At 47.9% G+C, this 20,373-nt stretch overlaps 2 annotated features.

Moving 5' to 3' along the window:
* Window positions 8,807–9,307: an enhancer, noted in NCBI's record as "H3K4me1 hESC enhancer chr1:22717035-22717535 (GRCh37/hg19 assembly coordinates)". NCBI's record gives its function as "activates a minimal SCP1, AML or CMV promoter by ChIP-STARR-seq in primed H9 embryonic stem cells {active_cell/tissue: H9 hESC(primed)}" and the evidence as "EXISTENCE:reporter gene assay evidence [ECO:0000049][PMID:30033119]".
* Window positions 9,308–9,808: an enhancer, noted in NCBI's record as "H3K4me1 hESC enhancer chr1:22716534-22717034 (GRCh37/hg19 assembly coordinates)". NCBI's record gives its function as "activates a minimal SCP1, AML or CMV promoter by ChIP-STARR-seq in primed H9 embryonic stem cells {active_cell/tissue: H9 hESC(primed)}" and the evidence as "EXISTENCE:reporter gene assay evidence [ECO:0000049][PMID:30033119]".

Below are 20,373 nucleotides of genomic sequence, written 5' to 3'. Positions count from 1 at the left end.
GCTTCACTAATTCTTCTGTCTCCCACCTGATTATAAGCTGAGCTGTGGGGACTTGTCTTGTTCACCACCGTTTCCCCAGTGCCTAGCACCGTGCCTGGCATATAGTTGGTGCATAATAAAACTGTGTTGGGTGACTACATAAATGAACATCCACTGAGGCTGGGTTGAGAGAGTGTATTTATGGGAGCCCTGCAGAGCGAAATGTTTGTTGAATGAATTAACGTGAGGCTCTTACATGTGTCCTTTTGACGGTCAGTTCCTTGAGGGTAGACCCATAGCTTGCTCTTCTTGGTATTTCTCATGGTGCTTTAGTAAGCTGTGTGACCTTAGGCAAGTGACTTAACCTCTCTGGGTTTCAGTTTCTTCATCTGTAAAATGAGAAGAATAATGGTATCCATGTCACAGGGTTGTTGGGAGGATTAAACAAGTTAACGTATGTAAAGCTCGTAGAACATTGCCTGGCACAGAGTAAGTGCTCCTGAAACATTAGCTGTTCTTATCATCCTGATTTTACACGTAGTAGGTGTTTCAAAAGCTGTAAGGCAGGGAATTGAGCAAACAGTGAGTTGTCTCAAGCTGAGCCCAGAGAAGCTTCCTTATATTGCCTTTACTTTTCCCATACTGGGAGCTGGGGAATTGTCCGATAACATGAACTGGATTGAAATTAGAAACCACAGCATGCCGTCAACTCATGCTGAATTTGTGGTCAGCTAAACCCCAAAGCCTTTCTTCACAGCCTTACTGCTCAGCCAGGGAACCCTCATCCTGTATTTGCGGGTTTTTACTTTATTTTTTGTGGTCTTTTGCTTTTTTTTTTTAATGTTCCGGATTATAAAAGTTATACATGCCCACTGTGGAAAGTTTACAATGAGCATAAAATTACAAAGGGCAGGAAAAAAGCAGGTTACACAACAGCATGAATGGCTTGAATCCACTTGCGTAAAATGCTTTTATATATTTATAAAGAGAGATGGGGACAGGCAGGAATTGCAAGAGAGCGAGTGAGAGGCAGGCTTGCAAAGAAGTTCACCAGAGTGTCTGCAGTGGCTGTTCTCTATGGGCTGCATAACGCATGATTTTCATATTCCCCCATATGCTGTTTGATTTTTTTATAACAAACATGTATTACCGTTTTTTGAAAAAACATTTTTTGATAATTATTTTTGAATGGAAATCAGATCATTCATCTCCTCTACTTAAAATGCTCTAAGGGTTCATTCATTCAAGAAATATTCATTGACTAGGGACTAAGTGCTGGGCTTGGTTCTCTCTCCTTCCCTTGTTTTACGGCCCTTGTAGCTCTCATCAGGTGCTCAGAGTATTGTGTTTGGTTTGGTTTGGTTTTTTCCTTCCAGACAGGGTCTCACTCTGTCACCCAGGCTGGAGTGCAGAGGTGCGATCACAGCTCACTACAGCCTCGATCTCCCGGGCTCAAGTGATCCTCCCACCTCAGCCTTCTCAGTAGCTGGGACTACAGGCATGCACTATCACATCTGGCTAATTTTTATATTTTTAGTAGAGACAGGGTTTTGCCATGTTGCCCAGGCTGGTCTTGAACTCCTGGGCTCAAGTGATCAACCTGCCTCGGCCTCCCGAGGTGCTATTACAGGTGTGAGCCACCGCGCCCAGCCCCAGAGTATTGTTCTTTACAGGCTATGGGGTTCATGTGTATCCTTCCATAGAACATCATCAATTCTGTGAGGGCAGAGTCCTATATAATGCCTGTCCCCTCATGGGTATGTCTGTCTTGTACACAGCCACAGGAATGTCTATCTTACACAGCTTCTCCCTAGGTCCTAAAACAACACCTGACATGTAGTAGGTGCTCAATAAATATTTGTTGAACAAATGAAGGAACGTATAAAAGCAAAAATAAAGAAGTAAGGCAAAATCTTTCATCATTCCACCACCCAGAGATCACTGTTAACGTCTTGGCATATTTCTTCCTAAATTTCTTCTATGTCACTGTTTATATTCATATGAATATAGTTGAAAACACATTTTGCACCTTTTTCCTTAACTCAGCCTAACAGCATAAGCATTTCCCATGGTATTAAGAAGCATTATTCTTCTTGAAGTAACAGTCATGGTTCTCAGCCAGAGGCGATTCGGCCCCCCAGGGGACAGTTGGCAATGGCTGGAGACATGTTTGGTTGTTACAACGGGTGGGGTGAGGGGCATCGCTACTGGCTACTAAACGTCCTATGATACACAAAACAGCCCCCAAAACAACAAATTACTGGCCCTAAATGTGGATAGTGCCAAGGTTGAGAATCTGCCTTTAGTAGTTCATCATGAAGACCTATGAGATTTGGCTCCAACACCTTCCTGTTTCCAGTTTTCACCAATACAAAGAAGATTGTGAAAAAGAGCTTGAGACATGCATCTCTACCACACTTTATATTATCTCCACAGGGCAAATGGTGATGCTTGGTTTTTTCAGGAGGTTGAACGAAGGACAACATTGACCTTGCTTGGACTTCGTTTTTGTCAATTTCAGCTGCTTAGTCCCAGCCCTCTGGGCATTCTGTCCTCTGTCACATTTGTGGTCTTTTCCAGCTGCAAGTCATGTCAAGGGAAAATATCCAGACCTCCATGGCCAGGGTGCTTTCTGTGATGAGGGCTGCCCCACCAGCACCTCACCTGTCCAAGATTTCAAACCCTCACTGGGGGAAAACTTGTTTACCATGATCTATAAATAATGTGTGTCATGTGAGCAGAAGAGAAGAATGGAAGCAAGGATGCTGTGTACTTGCTGTGGACATTCAATTTCCAGTTTATACCAAGAAAACTGCAATTGTTCAAGACAATTTGGATGCCTCCTTGGGAAGTGCTTTAGGGGTTTACAATGCTTTCCCTCAATAAGAACATCATCTAGGTGAAAAGCCCTGGTGTGTGTACAAATACATCCTATGCAAAACAATATTCATTCATTCAGCAAATATTTACTGAACCCCTGCTATGTGCCAGGCACTGTTCTATGCTCTATAGACACAGAGATGAAACGAGACAGAGAGAGTCTCTGTCCACGGACAGCCTACTTTCTACGGGGAGCAGGGTCACATAACCAAATTATGTAAAACACAATGTCAGGAAGTAATTAGTGCTTGAAAAAAACATCAAGGACAGGGGACAGAGTGGCAGGGCAGGGAGTACAATTTTGGACAGGATAGTCAGAGATGGGTTCTCTGAGAGGCCATATTTTAAAGTGATCAGAGCTCAGAAAGTGAGTGAACCCTGGGGCTCTCTGAGAGTATAACAAGTGCAAAGGCCCTGAGGCAAAAATGTGCTGGGCATGTATGGGGAGCAGCAAGGGGGCCAGTGCAGTTGGTGTGAAAGGAGCAAAGGGGAAAGTTGTAGGACGTAAGGTTAGAGTGACAGAACAACCAGATCCCATAGGGCCTCGTAGGCCTCGGTGAGGACTTGAAGTTTTGCTCTCCTGGCGTATTTGAGCAAGGTAAGAAAGAGATCTCATGTTCCTTTTTAAAAATCCCTCTGGCTGCTGTATGGAAGATGAACTGTAGCGAGGCGAGGATGCAAGTGGGGAGCCCAGGAAGGGGCAGTTGTAATCTTGCAGATGAGAGGTGATGGTGGCTTGGACTTCATCATAAGGAGTGTGGTGCAGAAGGGCGAGATGTGGTCAGATTTCAGATATATTTTGAAGATGGAGCTGATGGGTTTGCTGATGCATTGCATGTGGGGGAAGGGTGACAGAAAGAGGGGTGGAGAATGACCAACAATTGAGAATTAAATGGGAGCTTTCGGAGATATGAGAGTTCTCTTCTGGGATTTATGTTTCCGTGGCACACCCACAAGCAATGGAGCCCCATGACAGCCAGCCAACCCCTGGCAACTTCCAAATTTCCAGATGCTCATTGATTTGCTGTTGTGTAGACTCTCCCTACTCAAAGTGTGGATGGAGAAAACACAGCATTAGCATCAGCTGGGAACTGGTTAGATGCTCAGGCCTGCCAGGTGATTCGTGTGCTTATTAAAGTGTAAGAAATGGCCGGGCACGATGGCTCACGCCTGTAATCCCAACACTTTGGGAGGCTGAGGAGGGAGGATCACTTGAGGCCAGGAGTTTGAGGCTGCTGTGAGCTATGATCATGCCACTGCACTTCAGCCCCAGTGACAGAGCTAGACTCTGTCTCTAATAAAACACACATACACATACACACACCCCCCGCACACACCCCACACAGACAAAAGTTTAAGAAACACTGATGTAGGTCACATATCTGAAAGGGTGGAATTCTTTATCTTCTCTTTGGGTGTTTTAGATTTTGTGAACATAATGACATTTCTTCTATAAGGAAGGTGATTTTTAAATGACAGCACTGTCGGTGGAGTAGAGAAGAGGAGCGTGTGGGTGAGGGCAAGCCTCAAAGTTAAGGTGAGCATTGACATGCAGATTTGGAAACACTGGCATTTCTCTACTGTCCTTTGGGCAGCTAGAACCACTTTCCTTTCCTGGGATACAGAAGAGCCAGCCTTCACCACAGAGGGGTGAACTGAGAGCTAGCGGCAGGATGTAGAGAAAAGTGGACAGGCTTTGGGGTCAAGCAAACTTCAATTCAAATCCAGGCTCCTCACTCACTAGTTATGTGATTTCACCTCTCTGAGACTCAGTTTTTCTTATATTTAGAATGGGACTAATAGTTTCAACAATATAGAATTATTGTGGTGATTAAATTAGATAGAATGCATAATGCATTTAGCAACATACTGAAAGAGAAGACCTGCTTAATAACTGTTAGCTACAGCCAAGTATGGTGGTTTGTGCCTGCAATCCCAGCTACTCAGGAGGCTGAGGCAGGAGGATTGCCTGAGCCCTGAAGTTTGAGGCTGCAGTGAGCTATGATCACACTTCAGCTGTACTCCAGCCTGGGCAATAGAGCAAGACCTTGTCTCCAAAATAATAATAATAATACATTTGAAAAAGACTGTTAGCTATGTTAATAAGTGGAGTTATGATGTAAACAGGATGCTTTTGGTTACAAGTAACTGAAAACCTAACTGTTTTAGTTTTCAATTGCTGTTGTAGTAGATTACCACAAACCTAGCGGCTTAAAGTAGCATAAATGTATCTTACAATCCTGTAGGTTAGAAGCTTCATGTGGATCTCACTGGGCTAAAACAAGGCATCAGCAGGCTGCATCCCTTTCTGGAGGCTCTGTGAGAGAATTCGTTTATTTGTCCTTCCCAGATCCTAGAAGGCCTTGGCTCACGGTCCCCATCTTCTGTCAACAAAGCCAGCGCTACTGCATCTCTCTGACTGGCCTTCCTTAGTCCCATCTCCCTTTGACCACTCCTTGAAATGGCTCTCCAATTATAAGAACTCATATGATTAGATTGGGTCCATCTGGATAATCCAGGGTACTCTACCCATATCAAGGTCCTTAATCACATCTGAAAAGTCCCTATTGCCATGTAAATGCATGTATTCACAGTTCTGCTCCTCCCTTCCCCTTCCCTCCCCTCCCCTCCCTTCCCTTCCTTTCTCTCCCTTCCCTTCCTCCCTTTTTCTTTCTTTCTTTCTCTTTCTTTCTTTCTTTCTTTCTTTCTTTCTTTCTTTCTTTCTTTCTTTCTTTTTCTTTCTTTCCTCCCTTCCTTCCTTCCCCTTTCTTGTTCTCTTTCTCACTCTCTTTCTCCCTCCCTCCCTCCCTTCCTTCCTTTTCTTTTATGGGGTTTCACTCTTGTTGCCCAGGCTGGAATGCAATGGTGTGATCTCGGCTCACCGCAACCTCTGTCTTCCAGGTTCAAGTGATTCTCCTGCCTCAGCCTCCCAAGTAGCCGGGATTACAGGCATGCGCCACCATGCCTGGCTAATTTTGTAATTTTAGTAGAGATGAGATTTCACTATATTGGTCAGGCTGGTCTCGAACTCCTGACCTCAGGTGATTCACCTACCTCGGCCTCCCAAAGCGTTGGGGTAATCCCAACGTGAGCCACCATGCCTGGCCTGTATCCACAGTTTCTAGAGATAGTGCACGGACATCTTTGGGGGTGGCATTATTCCGCCTGCTGCACCAACTCAAACTATTAATAGCTCTGAGATTTATTGCCTTGTGTAGTAAAGGACTGAAGGTACTCTGTGTGGGCTTTAGGCATAGTTTTATCAGGACTTGACCTTTGTTTCTCTGTTTCTCTATGCTCTGCCTTCCATGCTTACTCCTTAAAATGGCTTATTTGATAATCACAGGAATGCTGCCAGCAGAAACCAGGGTGATACAATTCCTTTTTCCCCTTTTGGGAGAAAGAAACCACTCTTCCCATACCCATGAAACAGGTATTCTGAGCTATGCTCTGAGAAGACCATCTCTGATGGACAATTGCTGTGGATGGTAGGGGAATCCCGATTACCCTGATTGGTTATCCTGGAGATAGGAGTGGGATCAGTCCCACTTCCTGGGACTGGACCGTTGTAGTGGGGAAGGGGAAGTAACCCCAGTGACCACTGCAATTATCCACGTCCTTAGCCTACCCCCTCCTGGAGAAGGAAGCACTAAAACAGAATGGAAGGCAAGCGCCCCCACTCGGGGATTAGAATCCATCATTCTGCTGAGTTCTGTGTCCTTGGCCTGCTGGACTCCTGACCCCCACCCTGTTTGCCTGGTCCTCAGTCTGATGCTCAACCCACCTTCCTGGCTCCCAGCCGTCAGCTTGCTCCTGGCTGCAGAGCCCTTGTCCCTCCAGCTCTTGCCTCCTTGCCTTGGGTTCATTGCACGCCCAGAACATCCCACAGCTCTGTGCAGGCCCAGGCCCCTGTTTGACTGTCCCCACAGCCTCTAAGGATGCCTGCCTGGCTTCTCTGGGCCCTGGGCATTGCTCCTTCTTCCACATTCCACGATTTTTTTTTTAAGTCAGAGTCTCCACTTTGGGAGGCTGAGGCGGGCGGATCACGAGGTCAGGAGTTCGAGACCAGCCTGGCCAACATGGTGAAACCCTGTCTCTACTAAAAATACAAAAAAAAAAAAAATTAGCCAGGCATGGTGGCGGGTGCCTATAATCCCAGCTACTCTGGAGGCTGAGGCAGAAGAATCGCTTGAACCCAAGAGGCGGAGGTTGCAGTGAGCCGAGATCTGGCCACTGCACTCCAGCCTAAGTGACAGAGCGAGATTCCATCTCAAAAAAAAAAAAGTTAGAGTCTTGCCCTGTGCCCAGGCTGGAGTGCAGAGGAACGATCACTGTAGCCTGCAACTCCTGGGTTCAAGTGATCCTCCCACCTAAGCCTCCAGAGTTGCTGGGATTACAGACAGGCTGAGCCACCGTACTCACCTCTCCACAACTTTTCTTACGCACCTGCTACAAGTATTATTGGTTGTTAATCACCACTGTTTGTCTGGACTCTGTGCCCAGCATTGGGTTAAGCATTTTAAATTATTAGCTCATTCATCTTTACAGCCACTCTTTGAAAGAGGAAGGCATGATTCTTACCCCATCTTACTGACCGAGGAAAGAGAGGCTTAGAGAGGTTAAGTAACTTGCCCCAGGTCACACAGCCAGGAAAGGATGGAGCCGACTCCAAGTCTAGCTCCTTTTTTTTTGCGACAGAGTCTCGCTCTATGGCCCAGGCGGAGTGCAGCGGCACGATCTCGGCTCACTGCAACCTGCGCCTCCCAGGTTCAAGTGATTCCCCTGCCTCAGCCTCCCGAGTAGCTGGGACTACAGGTGCCCGCCACCACGCCCGGCTAATTTTTTGTATTTTTAGTAGAGATGGGGTTTCACCGTGGTCTTGATCTCCTGACCTCGTGATCCGCCCGCCTCGGCCTCCCAAAGTGCTGGGTTACAAGCGTGAGCCACCGCGCCCGGCCCCAAGTCTAGCTCTTAACCAGTGTGTTATCCTGCTCCTCACTGGTGTAGAAGGCCACAGGTAATGACAATCCAGATTCTGGGGTCAATGTGGGTGTGAGGAGAGATGCAGAAGATGGAGATACCCGCAATGGATGATTCATCTCAACACAGGTGGTGGGGGAGCCCAGCTTTGCAATGCCCAGCTCATTAGGTGAGCGCCAGCCCTGGGATCTGGGCCACTAGGGCTGGAAGCAGCTCAGCCAGCAGCGCCAGGCTGCTAGAGAGGTTTTTCCCCCGACCGTGAGCTTATTATTACTCTTTATTTGGTGCTTTGGGACGGGCCTCCCATCCCAGCCTCGTGGAGAAGCTATGCCTTCCAGCCAGAGGACTGTCAGGACAAGGGCCTACTGGCCCTGGTCCAACCAGGGAAGGAGTTTGAGCTGCTTCTCTCCTGCGCTGTTGGCTGAGATGGAGACCAGCACTCCTGCCGAGAGCTAAGACACCTTGGTCCCTGGGCTCTCTGGAAAGCTGCTGCCCACCTGGCCTCCCATGTTCAGCTTGGCCTGGTCATGTTGGCTGAGCTGGCCTGCAAGATAGAGAATAAATTAACACTTCCATTGTGGGGGAATAAGCCTGCTTTTATTATTTGGTGATGAAATGAAGTATGGAGAAATGTTTAGTTTGGTTACAGGGCTGGCAAGAGAGTGGTGTGGGGGCAGCAGCCATGAACGTGAACAGCCACAGATAGGACAGGAAGAGCAGCATCTGGAGCTGTCCACTGGGCAGGGGGAGCAGTTCTGAGGAAGGGGGCTCTGTGCTGGAGGTCCCAAAGACTGTTTGCTGCTTCTGGAGTGCTGGACTGGGACTAGAGGGAGTGGGCTTCCAACCCTAGCTAGATGCCATCATATGACTTGGGGTAAATCCCTGACCATCACTGGACATTAGCCTCAACATCTGTTAATGAAGGCGTTGGCTGCAATGGCCTCTCAGGGCCTCCCTGGTCACCACTGTCTAGGGTTGGCTCGACTGTGGCCAAATAGAAGCTGTCCCTAATGTTTCTGACACCATCACCAGATGCACGGGGAAAAGCTACATGCTTGCTATTTCAAGAAAGGCGATGCTTAGCTTTAAATTCTATAACTGCTAAGGGGGATTTTCATGCCCAAGCACCACCTTTTCTACCTCGGAGAGGTTGGGGCTTATTTCACTGTGTCCCAACTGGATTGCTGGGAACTTCCGGAGAGCATGGATGGGGTTAGGGGAGGGAGGTGGAGGCTGGAGAGACCCCTAGGGAGGGCAGAGCCAACCCTGTGTGTATGCACGTGTGTGTGTGTTGGGGCAGGAAGGGGGATTAACTGACTTCTGTTAAGGGCTACACTTAAAGGCTCTGATCCAAGCAGGGCTGGTAGTAGGTTTTCAGTGTTGGATACAATGACAAGCCATGGGTCGGCGCCGATGGCCACCACCAATGCCAGGGTCCAGACCCAGGGCAAAGGATGGGTGGCCGGAAGGTGGAGGCAGGACTCCACCCCCTGCAGGTGGTAGCTGGGCACTGTGGTTCTGTGCTTAGGCTACAGATTCAGAAGAAGCAGTTTTGCAGCCTGGCCCCGGCTCCTGCTGACCTATCCTGGGCTGCTGACTTCACTTCTCTGGGCCTTGTTTCCTCATCAGAAAGAGGGGGAAAGTAACAGTTCCGCCTCACAGAGCAGGGGCTAGGATTATGTAAGAGGCTGGGCCATGTGTCTGGTGTACCTGGGCACAGGTGGATGGCTCGTTAGGACAGGAGGCCCATCCAGCAGAGGAGACCTGCAGCCTCTGCCCCACCTCTGGGCTGAGCCAAGTGAATGTGGGGAGGTCTCACCTCTGCCAGCTTCCACTGTGCCTGGGTCCTAGGGACAAAGATATGAAAGTGGACTTTGCGAGTGGCTTAGGCAGCACATAAGACTCTTCTGGGCCTGGCGCGGTGGCTCACGCCTGTAATCCCAGCACTTTGGGAGGCTGAGGTGGGTGGATCACGAGGTCAGGAAATTGAGACCATCCTGGCTGACATGGTGAAACCCCGTCTCTACTAAAAATAAAAAAAAAAAATTAGCTGGGTGTGGTGGCGGGTGCCTGTAGTCCCAGCTACTCGGGAGGCTGAGGCAGGAGAACGGCGTGAACCCGGGAGGCGGAGCTTGCAGTGAGCCAAGAACGCTCCACTGCACTCCAGCCTGGGTGACTGAGCAAGACTCCGTCTCAAAAAAAAAAAAAAAAGACTCTTCTGGAGAAGTTATTAGCAATGCAGATCCCAGCTCCAGTCTCCCCAGGGCTCCCTTTGGTTTGGGACAGACCCAGGAGTCTGCATTATTAACATATGTCCCTGAGGTTTCAGCTGTCTCCTGAGAAACTCTGTGCCAGGTGGTGTCTGTGCCAGCGTAGCTGCCTCTGCCCTTTTATGAGGTAGACCCTGGTGCCGATGCATCTCTGGCTATGAGAGGGGGCAACTGGTAAGCCTGGTGCACCCCAGGTCAATGGCAGGGAGCTGGATTCATTCAGAGCAGCCCAGTCTGGGGCCCTCAGGACTTCTCTGCCAGCTCCTTCTCAGGCTCCTGCCAGCCCAGAGAAGCGGCTCCAGCCCCAACCCAGGCACAAAAACGGGGCTGCTGACAGCCTCCTCCTTCCATGACACGGATGGCCAGGCCCTCCCTCTGCTCCCACAGACACTGCTTTGTCCCCAGGGACTTGTCTGCCTGCAGGGTGGACACACTTCTCCACCTCCCCGCCAGATCTCAATTGGACCAGCCAGTGACTCACAGCCCCACGCAGAACGCTTGGCACCTCCTAGGCGGACGATGCTTGTTGCATTCCCTGGCCCTTAGAGGAGGCAATCAATGACAGGGCGTGATTGGGGGCCACCCACCCACCAAATTATCTCCTTTGTGGATGCCTGAAATTCCACTATTAATACTTCATTCTTTTGGAGGATATTATGGCCTTATCTCAGTTCCACTCTTTAAATATAAGCCCCTTGGGATGTATAACATACCTGAGTATGGATGAGCACGTCAAAACACGTTCCTTTCCCGAAAGAGGGATCCAAGTTCTCAGGCTCCAAGCTCAGCACTCTTTCCAATGCCAGACACTTTCAGTCACTCAACAAACATGATCAGGCCCCAACTCTGTGTTGCAGCCCTATGTCTGGTGTTGAAATCTGCCAGACGTGGTTCTGCCCTCGAGGCGCATAGCAGAGCTTCCCCACATGTAATCGGAATGCGCTACTCTCTGCATACATAGCATCTTGCAGACGCCTAGCACACAGTGGGAGCTCACTAAATATTTGTTGAATGAATGAAGCTCTAGATCCACAAAAATAAGGCACTACAGTAGCGGGGATGTGAGCACAAACTCTGCAGCCGACTTCCTGGGTTTGGTTTCCGGCTTTGTCACTTACCAGCCAGGAGACCTTAGGCAAATTTCTGTACTTTTCTCTGCCTCAGTCTCCACGCTGGTAAAATGGGAATAATAATGGTTGTTATGAGGATTCTCTGCGTTTATCTTTGTAAAGTACTTAGAACATTTCCTGGCACACAGAAAGCACGACGTACGTGTTTGTTAAATAACCAAAACTCAACAGTCATGATTGAATACACATGGAAGGTATTCGGTAATGCTTGTTGGCTGGTCTAAGGGCTTACACATGGCAGGGATGGTGTTTTACTACTCTCCGTATCCTCAGAGGCTGGCACAGTGTAGACATCAGTAAATGTTGGTTTACTGGACTAACACTGCCCTCTGTGTGCCTCAGAGTGCTGGATGCCGCAGCAGGGCTGGTGCATTTGGGCTGGGTTCTAGGAGATGCAGTCATAAATCTAGTTGCTGTCAAGTTTCTGCAACAGGCTTTTTTTCTGGCTGTTTGGGTGTAGACAGAAACTGTCAATACAGAATCGATCTTTACGAGGCAGAGACTAATGCGCAGGGTGGTGAGACATGGGGAGGAGGGAACTGGGAACAGCTCATACTTCTTATAACTTCCCCCACGGTTCTGGGCATGTGATTAGCACTTGGTAAATACTTATTAATGATGTTGGAGTGTGGTTTAGAGCAGCCATTCTTTTCTTGACCTTCCTGAGCTCGCTGTTATGTGTCACCTCCAAGCCTCTGTTTAGGCTGGTCCTACAGCTCAGAACATCTTTTCATTGTCCTTTCTCTTTTCTAAGTTCCCTCTGCCCTTCAGAGTTCAGCCTTGTTCACATGGCTTTTCCCTAGATCTTGGTCTAATTTTTGTTCAGTACCTTCCCTTCCATGCAAATAACACCCCAGCTCCACCTAACTACTTACAGATCTTTCATTTATTCATTCAACAAACATTCACTGAGAGCCTACAATAGTCCCTCAGCAAACACTCATTGAGTGTGTTAGGCACTGCACTGGGATCTCCGCACACCAAGCTTACAGTGTGGGGGAGAAAATGGAAAGTCAACAAATAAATGGTCACAAGATACAAAGGAGGTGGAGGCTTGTCGTGTGATCACAGAACATGGAGATCTAACCTAGTCCTGGGGTTCAGGAATGGCCCGTGTTAGAATGTGAGGTTTGAGCTGAGTTTCCAAGAAGAGATATGAGCTAGAAGGGTGAAGGAAGGGAGAGAGCAGGGCAGATTTTTAGACGTGATACTGAGGATAGTGAGAGGTTTGAAATGGAGAATCAGATATTGGGATGTCAGTTTTCAATATGAAATGAGATTGATGTCTTAAAATATGTAACTGGTGATTTTTACTTTTTTTAAAATCAGCTACACTGAGGTCTACTTTACATAATAAAATTCACCAATTTTAAATGTACAATTCAATCATTTTGGGCAAGGGTATATAATCGTATAATTACTACCATCATCAAGATATAAACATTTCCATTACTCCCCAAAGTTCTCTCATGCCCTTTTGCAATCAGTCCCTCCCCTCCACCCCACCCAGTCCCAGGCAACCACGGATCTGTTCTAAAATCTGCACACTTGCCTTGTCTCAACTTTCCTATAAATTGACTCACGCAGTGTGTTGCCTTCTGTGACGAGTTTCTTCCACTTATTACAGTGCTTCTGAGATTCCTCTGTGTGTGTATCACAGCTGGTACCTTTTTCAGTGCTGAGTAATAATCCATTATATGGTTGTATCTTTCACCAGTTGATGGCCATTCAGGTTGTGAGGAGGCTGCTTTGAATCCTCCCCTCCTCCTACCCTAAAGCATATTGTCTTGCAGCCTTTCCACCTCCAAGAAAAGTCCAGGAGGCTTATTGCCTGGGGATGCAGAGAGCAGGTATTCATTAGAACAAAGAGGCCCGGCTGGCTTTCTTAGGTTTGCAGTGAGAAAAGGGTCTCAGAAGTCAGCCTTGTGAAGAGAGAAAAAGTTTTTTTTAAATATCCAAAGCTTCTTCTGAATTCACAGGCTGGGCCTGACCAGCTTGGACCAGAGAGCTTTACTGTGAGCCTTAGGGAGAGGGAACCTTCACAGGATGCAAGAGAAGCTCCCCACCTAGAGAAAATGGAACCTAGATGTCCTTCCAGGGAGAATGGAAGGAGCAGGAGGTGGAACAGGCCCCAGCCCAGTGCTGAAGCTCGGCTGGGTCTGTTGGGGAGGAGAGGAGACAGAAACTCTCACGGGCACTTTGGGGAAGTGAAGGGAGAATTTGAGAGCATCCGGCCCATGCCATCCCCTGCCAGCCTTCTTGGCTCACGTAAACACCAAGGGAGGTGTCTAGAGCAGCAGACCCGAGAGAGCCCTGCTGGTTCCCAGAGGCCTATGAGTGACATTCACAAGGTCCGTAAGTCTTCCTGTGCCTCTCAATGGCATGGGGAGCAGTGAGGAGCTTCAGAGGAGCCCAGAGGATGAGGGCAAGGAGGCCACAGGGAGGCGATGGCAGGGCCCATCATCAGCAGCAGGGGTGTGGGCACACATCTGCAGGCCAGGAGGAACCAAGACTGCACCAGCAGATTCAGCGACCAGAGAGGCCAAAGCTCAGAGATAAGTGACTCAGTACACCTGAGGCCCTGGAGTAGAGGGGGGGCAGAGGACACAGATGGGCAAGCAGTCATTCCCCCGCCACCGTGAGGATATGCATGTGCCCCCGAATGCACAGCCTAGATCAGGAAGGAAAGCTCTGGTGTGGGTAGGAGGAGAACCCTTGCAGGACAGCATCACCTTGGCCTTGAAAGACCAAGGTACCAATTCTCATGGCACATGCGCTTTGAGAACAAACGCCTGGGTTCAAATTCAAGCTAAGCCAATCACTAAATGCGCAACCAGAGGAAAATTCCTTACTCTCTCCGTGCCTCAGTTTCCCCATCTGTAAAATGGGACTCATACTACTACTTACTGCATAGGGTCACTGGGGCCTTTTTAATTGGTAAAATCAGTTTCTTTGTTTGTTTTACCTGCTGTCAGCAGCATGAGGAGCCTTATGAGGAAGTTGGGGTCAGTAAGAGAAAATGACTTTTGTTTCTGTACCTGTGTGGTACCTCTCTGTTGGAGTGGGCACAATTCTTTCCTGCTGTAGAAGGCCACCTTGGCTGAAGCGTCAGGGATGGAATGGCAGGGGTTACCCTGGAGGCCAGAGGACTATTGTATTTGACACCTTCCACTGATGCAGTCAGAGTCTATGGAGGTGGGACCCGGGCATCAGCATTTTAAAAGATCTGCCCCTCCCCACCCCTGGTGATGTCAATGTGCGGCCAAGGTTGAGAAAATCAGAAGGGGTTTAATGTTCATACAAACCATCTGAGGATGTTGTGAAAATACAGATTTCAGTCCTTAGGTCCCGGGTGAGGCCGAGAGTCTGATGTCGACGCTACTGGTCCACAGGCCACACTTTGAATAGCAAGAATCTCCAGACGATATTGAGGAGGTGGAATCAACAGGACTTGCCGATGCCTAGATATGGGGGTGGGAGGGGGGCAGTATTCCAGGAAAAGCTTCAGTTTTCTGGCATGAGTAACCGAGCTTTGGAATCAGATGCCAATGGGGCATGAGTTGTGGGAGGTAGGGTAGAGGCTAAGCCCAGTCTTGGGCCCATTCAACAGAGTTGTCCATTGGCCTGGACCTCAGCAGCCAGTATGAATTCGAGATCTAGATTCAGAAGTCACCAGTACACTGCTAATATCAGCTTGACTCTACTGAGTGCTAATTATGTGTTGAACTCCAGTGTAAGCATTTCACATATATTAACTCACTAAAAGGCCCCAGTAACCCTATGAAGTAAGTAGTAGTATGAATCTCATTTTACAGATGGAGAAACTAAGGCATGGAGAGTACGGAATTTTCCTCTGGTTGCACATCTAGTAATTGGCTTAGCTTGAATTTGAACCCAGGTGTTTGGTCTCAAAGTGCACATGCTGACCAACATCGCATGTGCCACGAGAATGGAAGGGCTCCCCCAGGGAGCCAGTGTCCAAAGAAGAAAGGACGTTCTAGGTGTTCCAAGGAATGCCAGTCCCTAAAACTTACTTTGCATCAGACGCTTACGAGGTCCTGAGGATACTTAGGACCTTTTGGTCACTTTTGGTCACAAGTGGCAGGAGCCCAATTCAAACTCCCTAAAATAGAAAATGGGATTCATTGGCTTGAGTAAGCTGAAAAATCAAAAGACGGATCCGAATCAGGAGTATGCTTGGATCCAGGCACTCAAATGACGTCAACAACTTGTTTCATCTCTCAGCTCTTCTTTTCGGTGCCAGAGTCATTCTCAGGCATCCTCTCCTCGGTGTGACAATGATGCCCCCAACGGCTCCAGGCTCCTCTCCTACCCCTTTAGCAATCCTCATGGAAAGAGCCAGGTTGTTCCTGCAAAGTCCCGGGATGATGCTCGCTGGCTCTGATTGGCCCAGCGTGGGTCATGTGGCAGCTCCTGAGCCAATCGCAGAAGCCAATCACGGAAGCTCACTAGAAATGGTAACAGAAGACAGAGGGACACAGGGCAATTCAACAGATACGCCGTGATTTTGCCTCAGAATCTTTGTCCTTGCTGTTCCCTCAGCTGAGACTGCCACCTCCGCTCCCTGCCACACACACTCTCGTACTTGTGGAATCCTACTCATTCCTCAGTGCCTGGATGCAGCATCTCTGTTCCTTCTAGTGCTTTCCCAGCAACCCCTGCCGGAGTCTTTATCAGATGCCTCTTACTCACCGCGTCAGATCCTCTTGTCCTCCTTGCCCTCAGTCCTAAGGCAGTGTCCTGTTCCAGCTTTTCTTGGGCCCGACAGGCTTTTCACAGGCGCAGCTTCCTGCCCACCCTGGCACTTCCCTTAACTGTGCCTCGGGACGCCTGTGTGGCCCACGCCCAGGTGTGCACAGCCTAGAAGTGTAGGAGAGCCGTCGCTCTGTGTGCAAACCTCTGGCCAATGAGAGATGGGAGCCAGGGCATAGATGGTCTCCTTTCGCTCCACCACTCACCCCCAAGGGACGTACATCCCAAGACACAGTGTATACAGCATCCCAGGGCACAGTTCACAGATCTGGCCACCATGACTCTCGTCTGTAGCTGGCTTGATCACACAACCTTCTACAGCTCCTCCCCTTCAAGTAATAGCGCAAGAGCCCTCTGTCTCAGGCTTGGTTTTAGAGAAGGAATCTGGGCTAGGACAGAATTACTCTTTCCCAGTACTCCCGTAACTCTTGGGCTTTGCTTCTCGAATAGTCAAATCAAGTTCATAGCAGCATTATGGTTACCACTTTATGTCTGCCTCCTCTAGCTCACCAGGCTGCAGGAAGGCTGGACACATTACAGCACTTAAGGAAATGCTTCGAATGTTTGGAAATGCAGGGGATGGCTTAGGGTGATGTATGAATGGACATTTAATATCAGTATGGGAAGGACGCTATCCCTTTTCGCTCAAACTTTATTGAGGTATATACGAAGACCAACAATCTGCACATATTTAAAGTGTCCAGTTTGATCCGTTTTGACCTGTGTATCCCAATCATGGGGCCATCACTATAATTGGGATAACAAATAATTCCATCACTCTCAAGTCCACGGATCTGCATTCTGTCACGATACAGGAATCCTATATAACTACAGTCGCAGAGCATGTATTTTTGTCTGGGTTCTTTCACTCAACAAAATTATTTCAAGATTTATCTATGATGCCGAGGGTATCAATAGTTTATTCCTTTTAACTGCTGAATCGTAGTCCCTTGTATGGATATACTACAATTTGTTATTAACAATTCATTCATCCATTGATGAACATTGGGTTGTTCCTAGTTTTTTGCTATTACGAATGAAGTTGCTATGAACATTTGCATTTGAGTTTGTGTGAACACACATATTTCCTTTTCTTTAGGGTAAGTACCTAGGAATGAAATAGTTGGGTCACATGGTAGGTATATGTTTAACTAGTTGAGAAACAAACTACTAATATTTTCCAAAGTGGTTACACCATTTTACATTCGCACCAGCAGTGTGAGTGTTCCATTTCAGCAATATTTGGTTTGGCTGGTCTTTTAAATTGTAGCCATTTTAACAGGTGTGTAATAGGTGTGAATGGTATCTCATTGCAGTTTCAGTCATGTGTTGCATAATGACATTTTTGTTAAACAATGAACCACATATGCAAGAGCGGTCTCATACGATTATAATACCGTATTTTTTCGTACCATATATATTATAATCCTGCACCTTTCAATGGCTAGATATACAAATACTTAACCACTGAGTTACAGTTGCCTACAGTATTCAGTACAGAAACATGCTGTACAGGTTTGTAGCCTAGGAAAAATAGACTCTGCCACATAGCCTAGGTGTGTGGAAGCATCTACCATCTAGGTTTGTGTAAGAACACTATGATATTCAAACAACGACAAAATTACCTAATGACATATTTCTCAGAACATATCCTAATTAAGTGATACATGACTGTAATTATTCTCTAATGATTATTTTGAGCATTTTTCACATGCTTACTTGCCATCCAGATATTTTCTCTGGGGAAACATCTGTTCAAATCTTTTGCCCATTTTTTGTTGGGTTATTTATTTTCTTATTTTTGAGAGTTCTTTATATATCCCAGATACACATCTCTTAACAGTTATGTGATTTGCAAGTAGTTTCCCTCGGACTGTGGCTTATCTTTTCATTTTCTTAACAGAGTCTTTCAAAGGGCAAAAGTTCTTAATTTTGACAAAGTCCATTGTAACCATTTTTTTTCTTTTATGGATAAGGCTTTTGGTGCTGAATCCAAGAAAGTTTTGCCTAACCGAAGATCGCAAAGATTTCCTCCTATACTTTCTTCTAGAACTTTTATATTTTTATGTTTTATAGATAGGTATATGATCCATTTGAGTTCATTTTATGTTTAGTGCAGGATACAGCTCCTAGGGGAAAGCCTTCAATCTATCACCATTAAGTATGCTCTTAGTTCTAGATTTTTCATAGATAACTTTTATCAGATGGAGGCCTTCATATTTTCATGGTTCTTTGCGTCTTTTTTTTTTTTTTTTTTTAAGATGGTGTCTTGCCCTTGTCGCCCAGGCTGGAGTGCAATGGTGCGATTTCGGCTCACTGCAACCTCTGCCTCCAGGGCTCAAAAGATTCTCCTGCCTCAGCCTCCTGAGTAGCTGGGATTACAGGTGCCCACCACCATGCCCAGCTAATTTTTGTATTTTTAGTAGAGATGGGGTTTCACCATGTTGGCCAGGCTGGTCTCGAACTCCTGACCTCAGGTGATCCACCCACCTTGGCCTCCCAAAGTGCTGGGATTACAGGGGTGAGCCACCGCACCCAGCTGGCTCTTTGTGTCTTGAATAATTTTGAATTGTTCCTTGGATATTGTGACTTTTCTTGTTTGTTTTTTCTTTTTTTAATTTTCAGACAGGATCTCACCATGTTGCCCAGGCTGGTCTCGAACTCCTGGCCTCAAGCAATTCTCCCCCCTCGGCCTCCCAAACTGCTGGGCTCATAGGCATGAGCCACTGCACCCAGCTGTCATGACTGTTATGTTGTGTAGAGGGGGATCATTATTATCTCCTAGAGAACATTGAGCTTTTTCCTAGAGCAGCCAAACAACCTACTAGATTCAGACTTATTTGGGTGGTGGTTGGACTCCCATCCAGTCCTCTGAGGCTTCGCCATGTTGATTTGGACCTGTTCAGTGTGTACGCATTTCTGGGATAGGCTGAGACTTGTCCAGGTGGCTCAGATCTCAGTCCAGTTCTCTGAGCCCTGCCATGATTGGAGCTGTCTAACAACCCTTTGAGATTCACAAGGCAAAAATCAACCTCCTCACCTGGGGGATGAGGCATTCAGAGTTCGAAGCCCCAGAGGTGCTCAGGGGAAGAGACCACCTGTAGGGGGCACCTTCCTCACCTGCTGTGAGGGCTAAGGAAGCCCAGATCAGTGATGTTGGAGGCGGGAGGCTGCCCAAGCCTCTTTTCTCCACACAGTGGAGTCATGAGGCCAAAAGTTGACCTCTCCAGCCACACCCTGGCTTGGGCTGAGGTCTCTAGCTCCTGGCCTGCCTCAGGCTCTTCTCCCATGGAGGGGCACCCCACCCCCCACTCCCAGATGACACACACTCTGACTCAGATAGCCTGTCCTCATCCTTCCGGCCGTGACCCAGGGGGCTGTGGTGGGGGTGGAGGAAGGGGAGGAACAGTCCAAGGAAAGGGTGATCCCATCTCTCTTGTCTCTGGGGCTCACCATGAAGTCAGCGGAGTCCCAGCTGCTGATGTCAGGAGCGAATAGGACTAACAACCCACATGTATTGAGTGCTTGCTCTGCACCAGCACCACACAAGTGCCTTACATCCATAGCCTCCTCGAGTCCTTATCATAACCCTTTGAAGCAGGGGTTGAAATGATGCCCATTTCACAGATGAAGAAACTGAGGCCCAGAAATTGAAGTCCCTTGCCCAAGGTCACAAGGCTGGTCACGGCTGAGACAGGACCTCAGAGCTGGCTGCATCTCTCTGTAACCTAGGCTGCTCCAGCAACTGAGCCAGCTCCCAAATGCTCTATTGTGCTCCCTCAAAACCCCCTACCCGCCTAATGCCACACGCAGGTGCAAGACCCCTACCACGGGATGCCCAGAAGAATGAGCCGCCTCCAGCCCCCAACCCAAAAGAGAAGAGGAGCAGATTCCCGGGGGCCCTCCGGCTAAGCAGGCACCAGCCTCCAACCGGAAATTAACTCAAAGGAAGAAGGGAGCCGACTCTGGATGCAGAGAGATGAGGCTGATTGTTTTCTGTTCTTCATTAAGTAACAAAGGGAAAAACCAACTGTGCATGGTGTGTGAGCTTCCCCACCGGCACCACCCCAGACTCCTGGAACATCTTTATCCACTTACCCAGGGATTCAGGAAATTCTCTTCCAAGCCAGTTTTATTGGAGATTTTGGAAGCAAAGCTCACAGTCTCCCAATCAATAACAGATGAACAATGCTCACATTGCATTTTTTGGGGAGGACGTTTAGCCCGGGCTTGTCCCATCTGAAGAGCCTGCCCTTGGACATCCCTATTTGATCAGACATTGCTGGGAAATGAACTTCAGGGCAATTCTAGAAACCAGAGTCATTGGCATGAGGGTGCAGCAGGAAGGGGCGTCCTGGTCT

The sequence above is a fragment of the Homo sapiens genome, chromosome 1 (assembly GCF_000001405.40).
Source record: "Homo sapiens chromosome 1, GRCh38.p14 Primary Assembly".
NCBI lineage: Eukaryota > Metazoa > Chordata > Mammalia > Primates > Hominidae > Homo > Homo sapiens.
The sequence above is the reverse complement of the archived record's forward strand: the minus strand, read 5'-3'. Positions and strand labels throughout refer to the sequence as shown.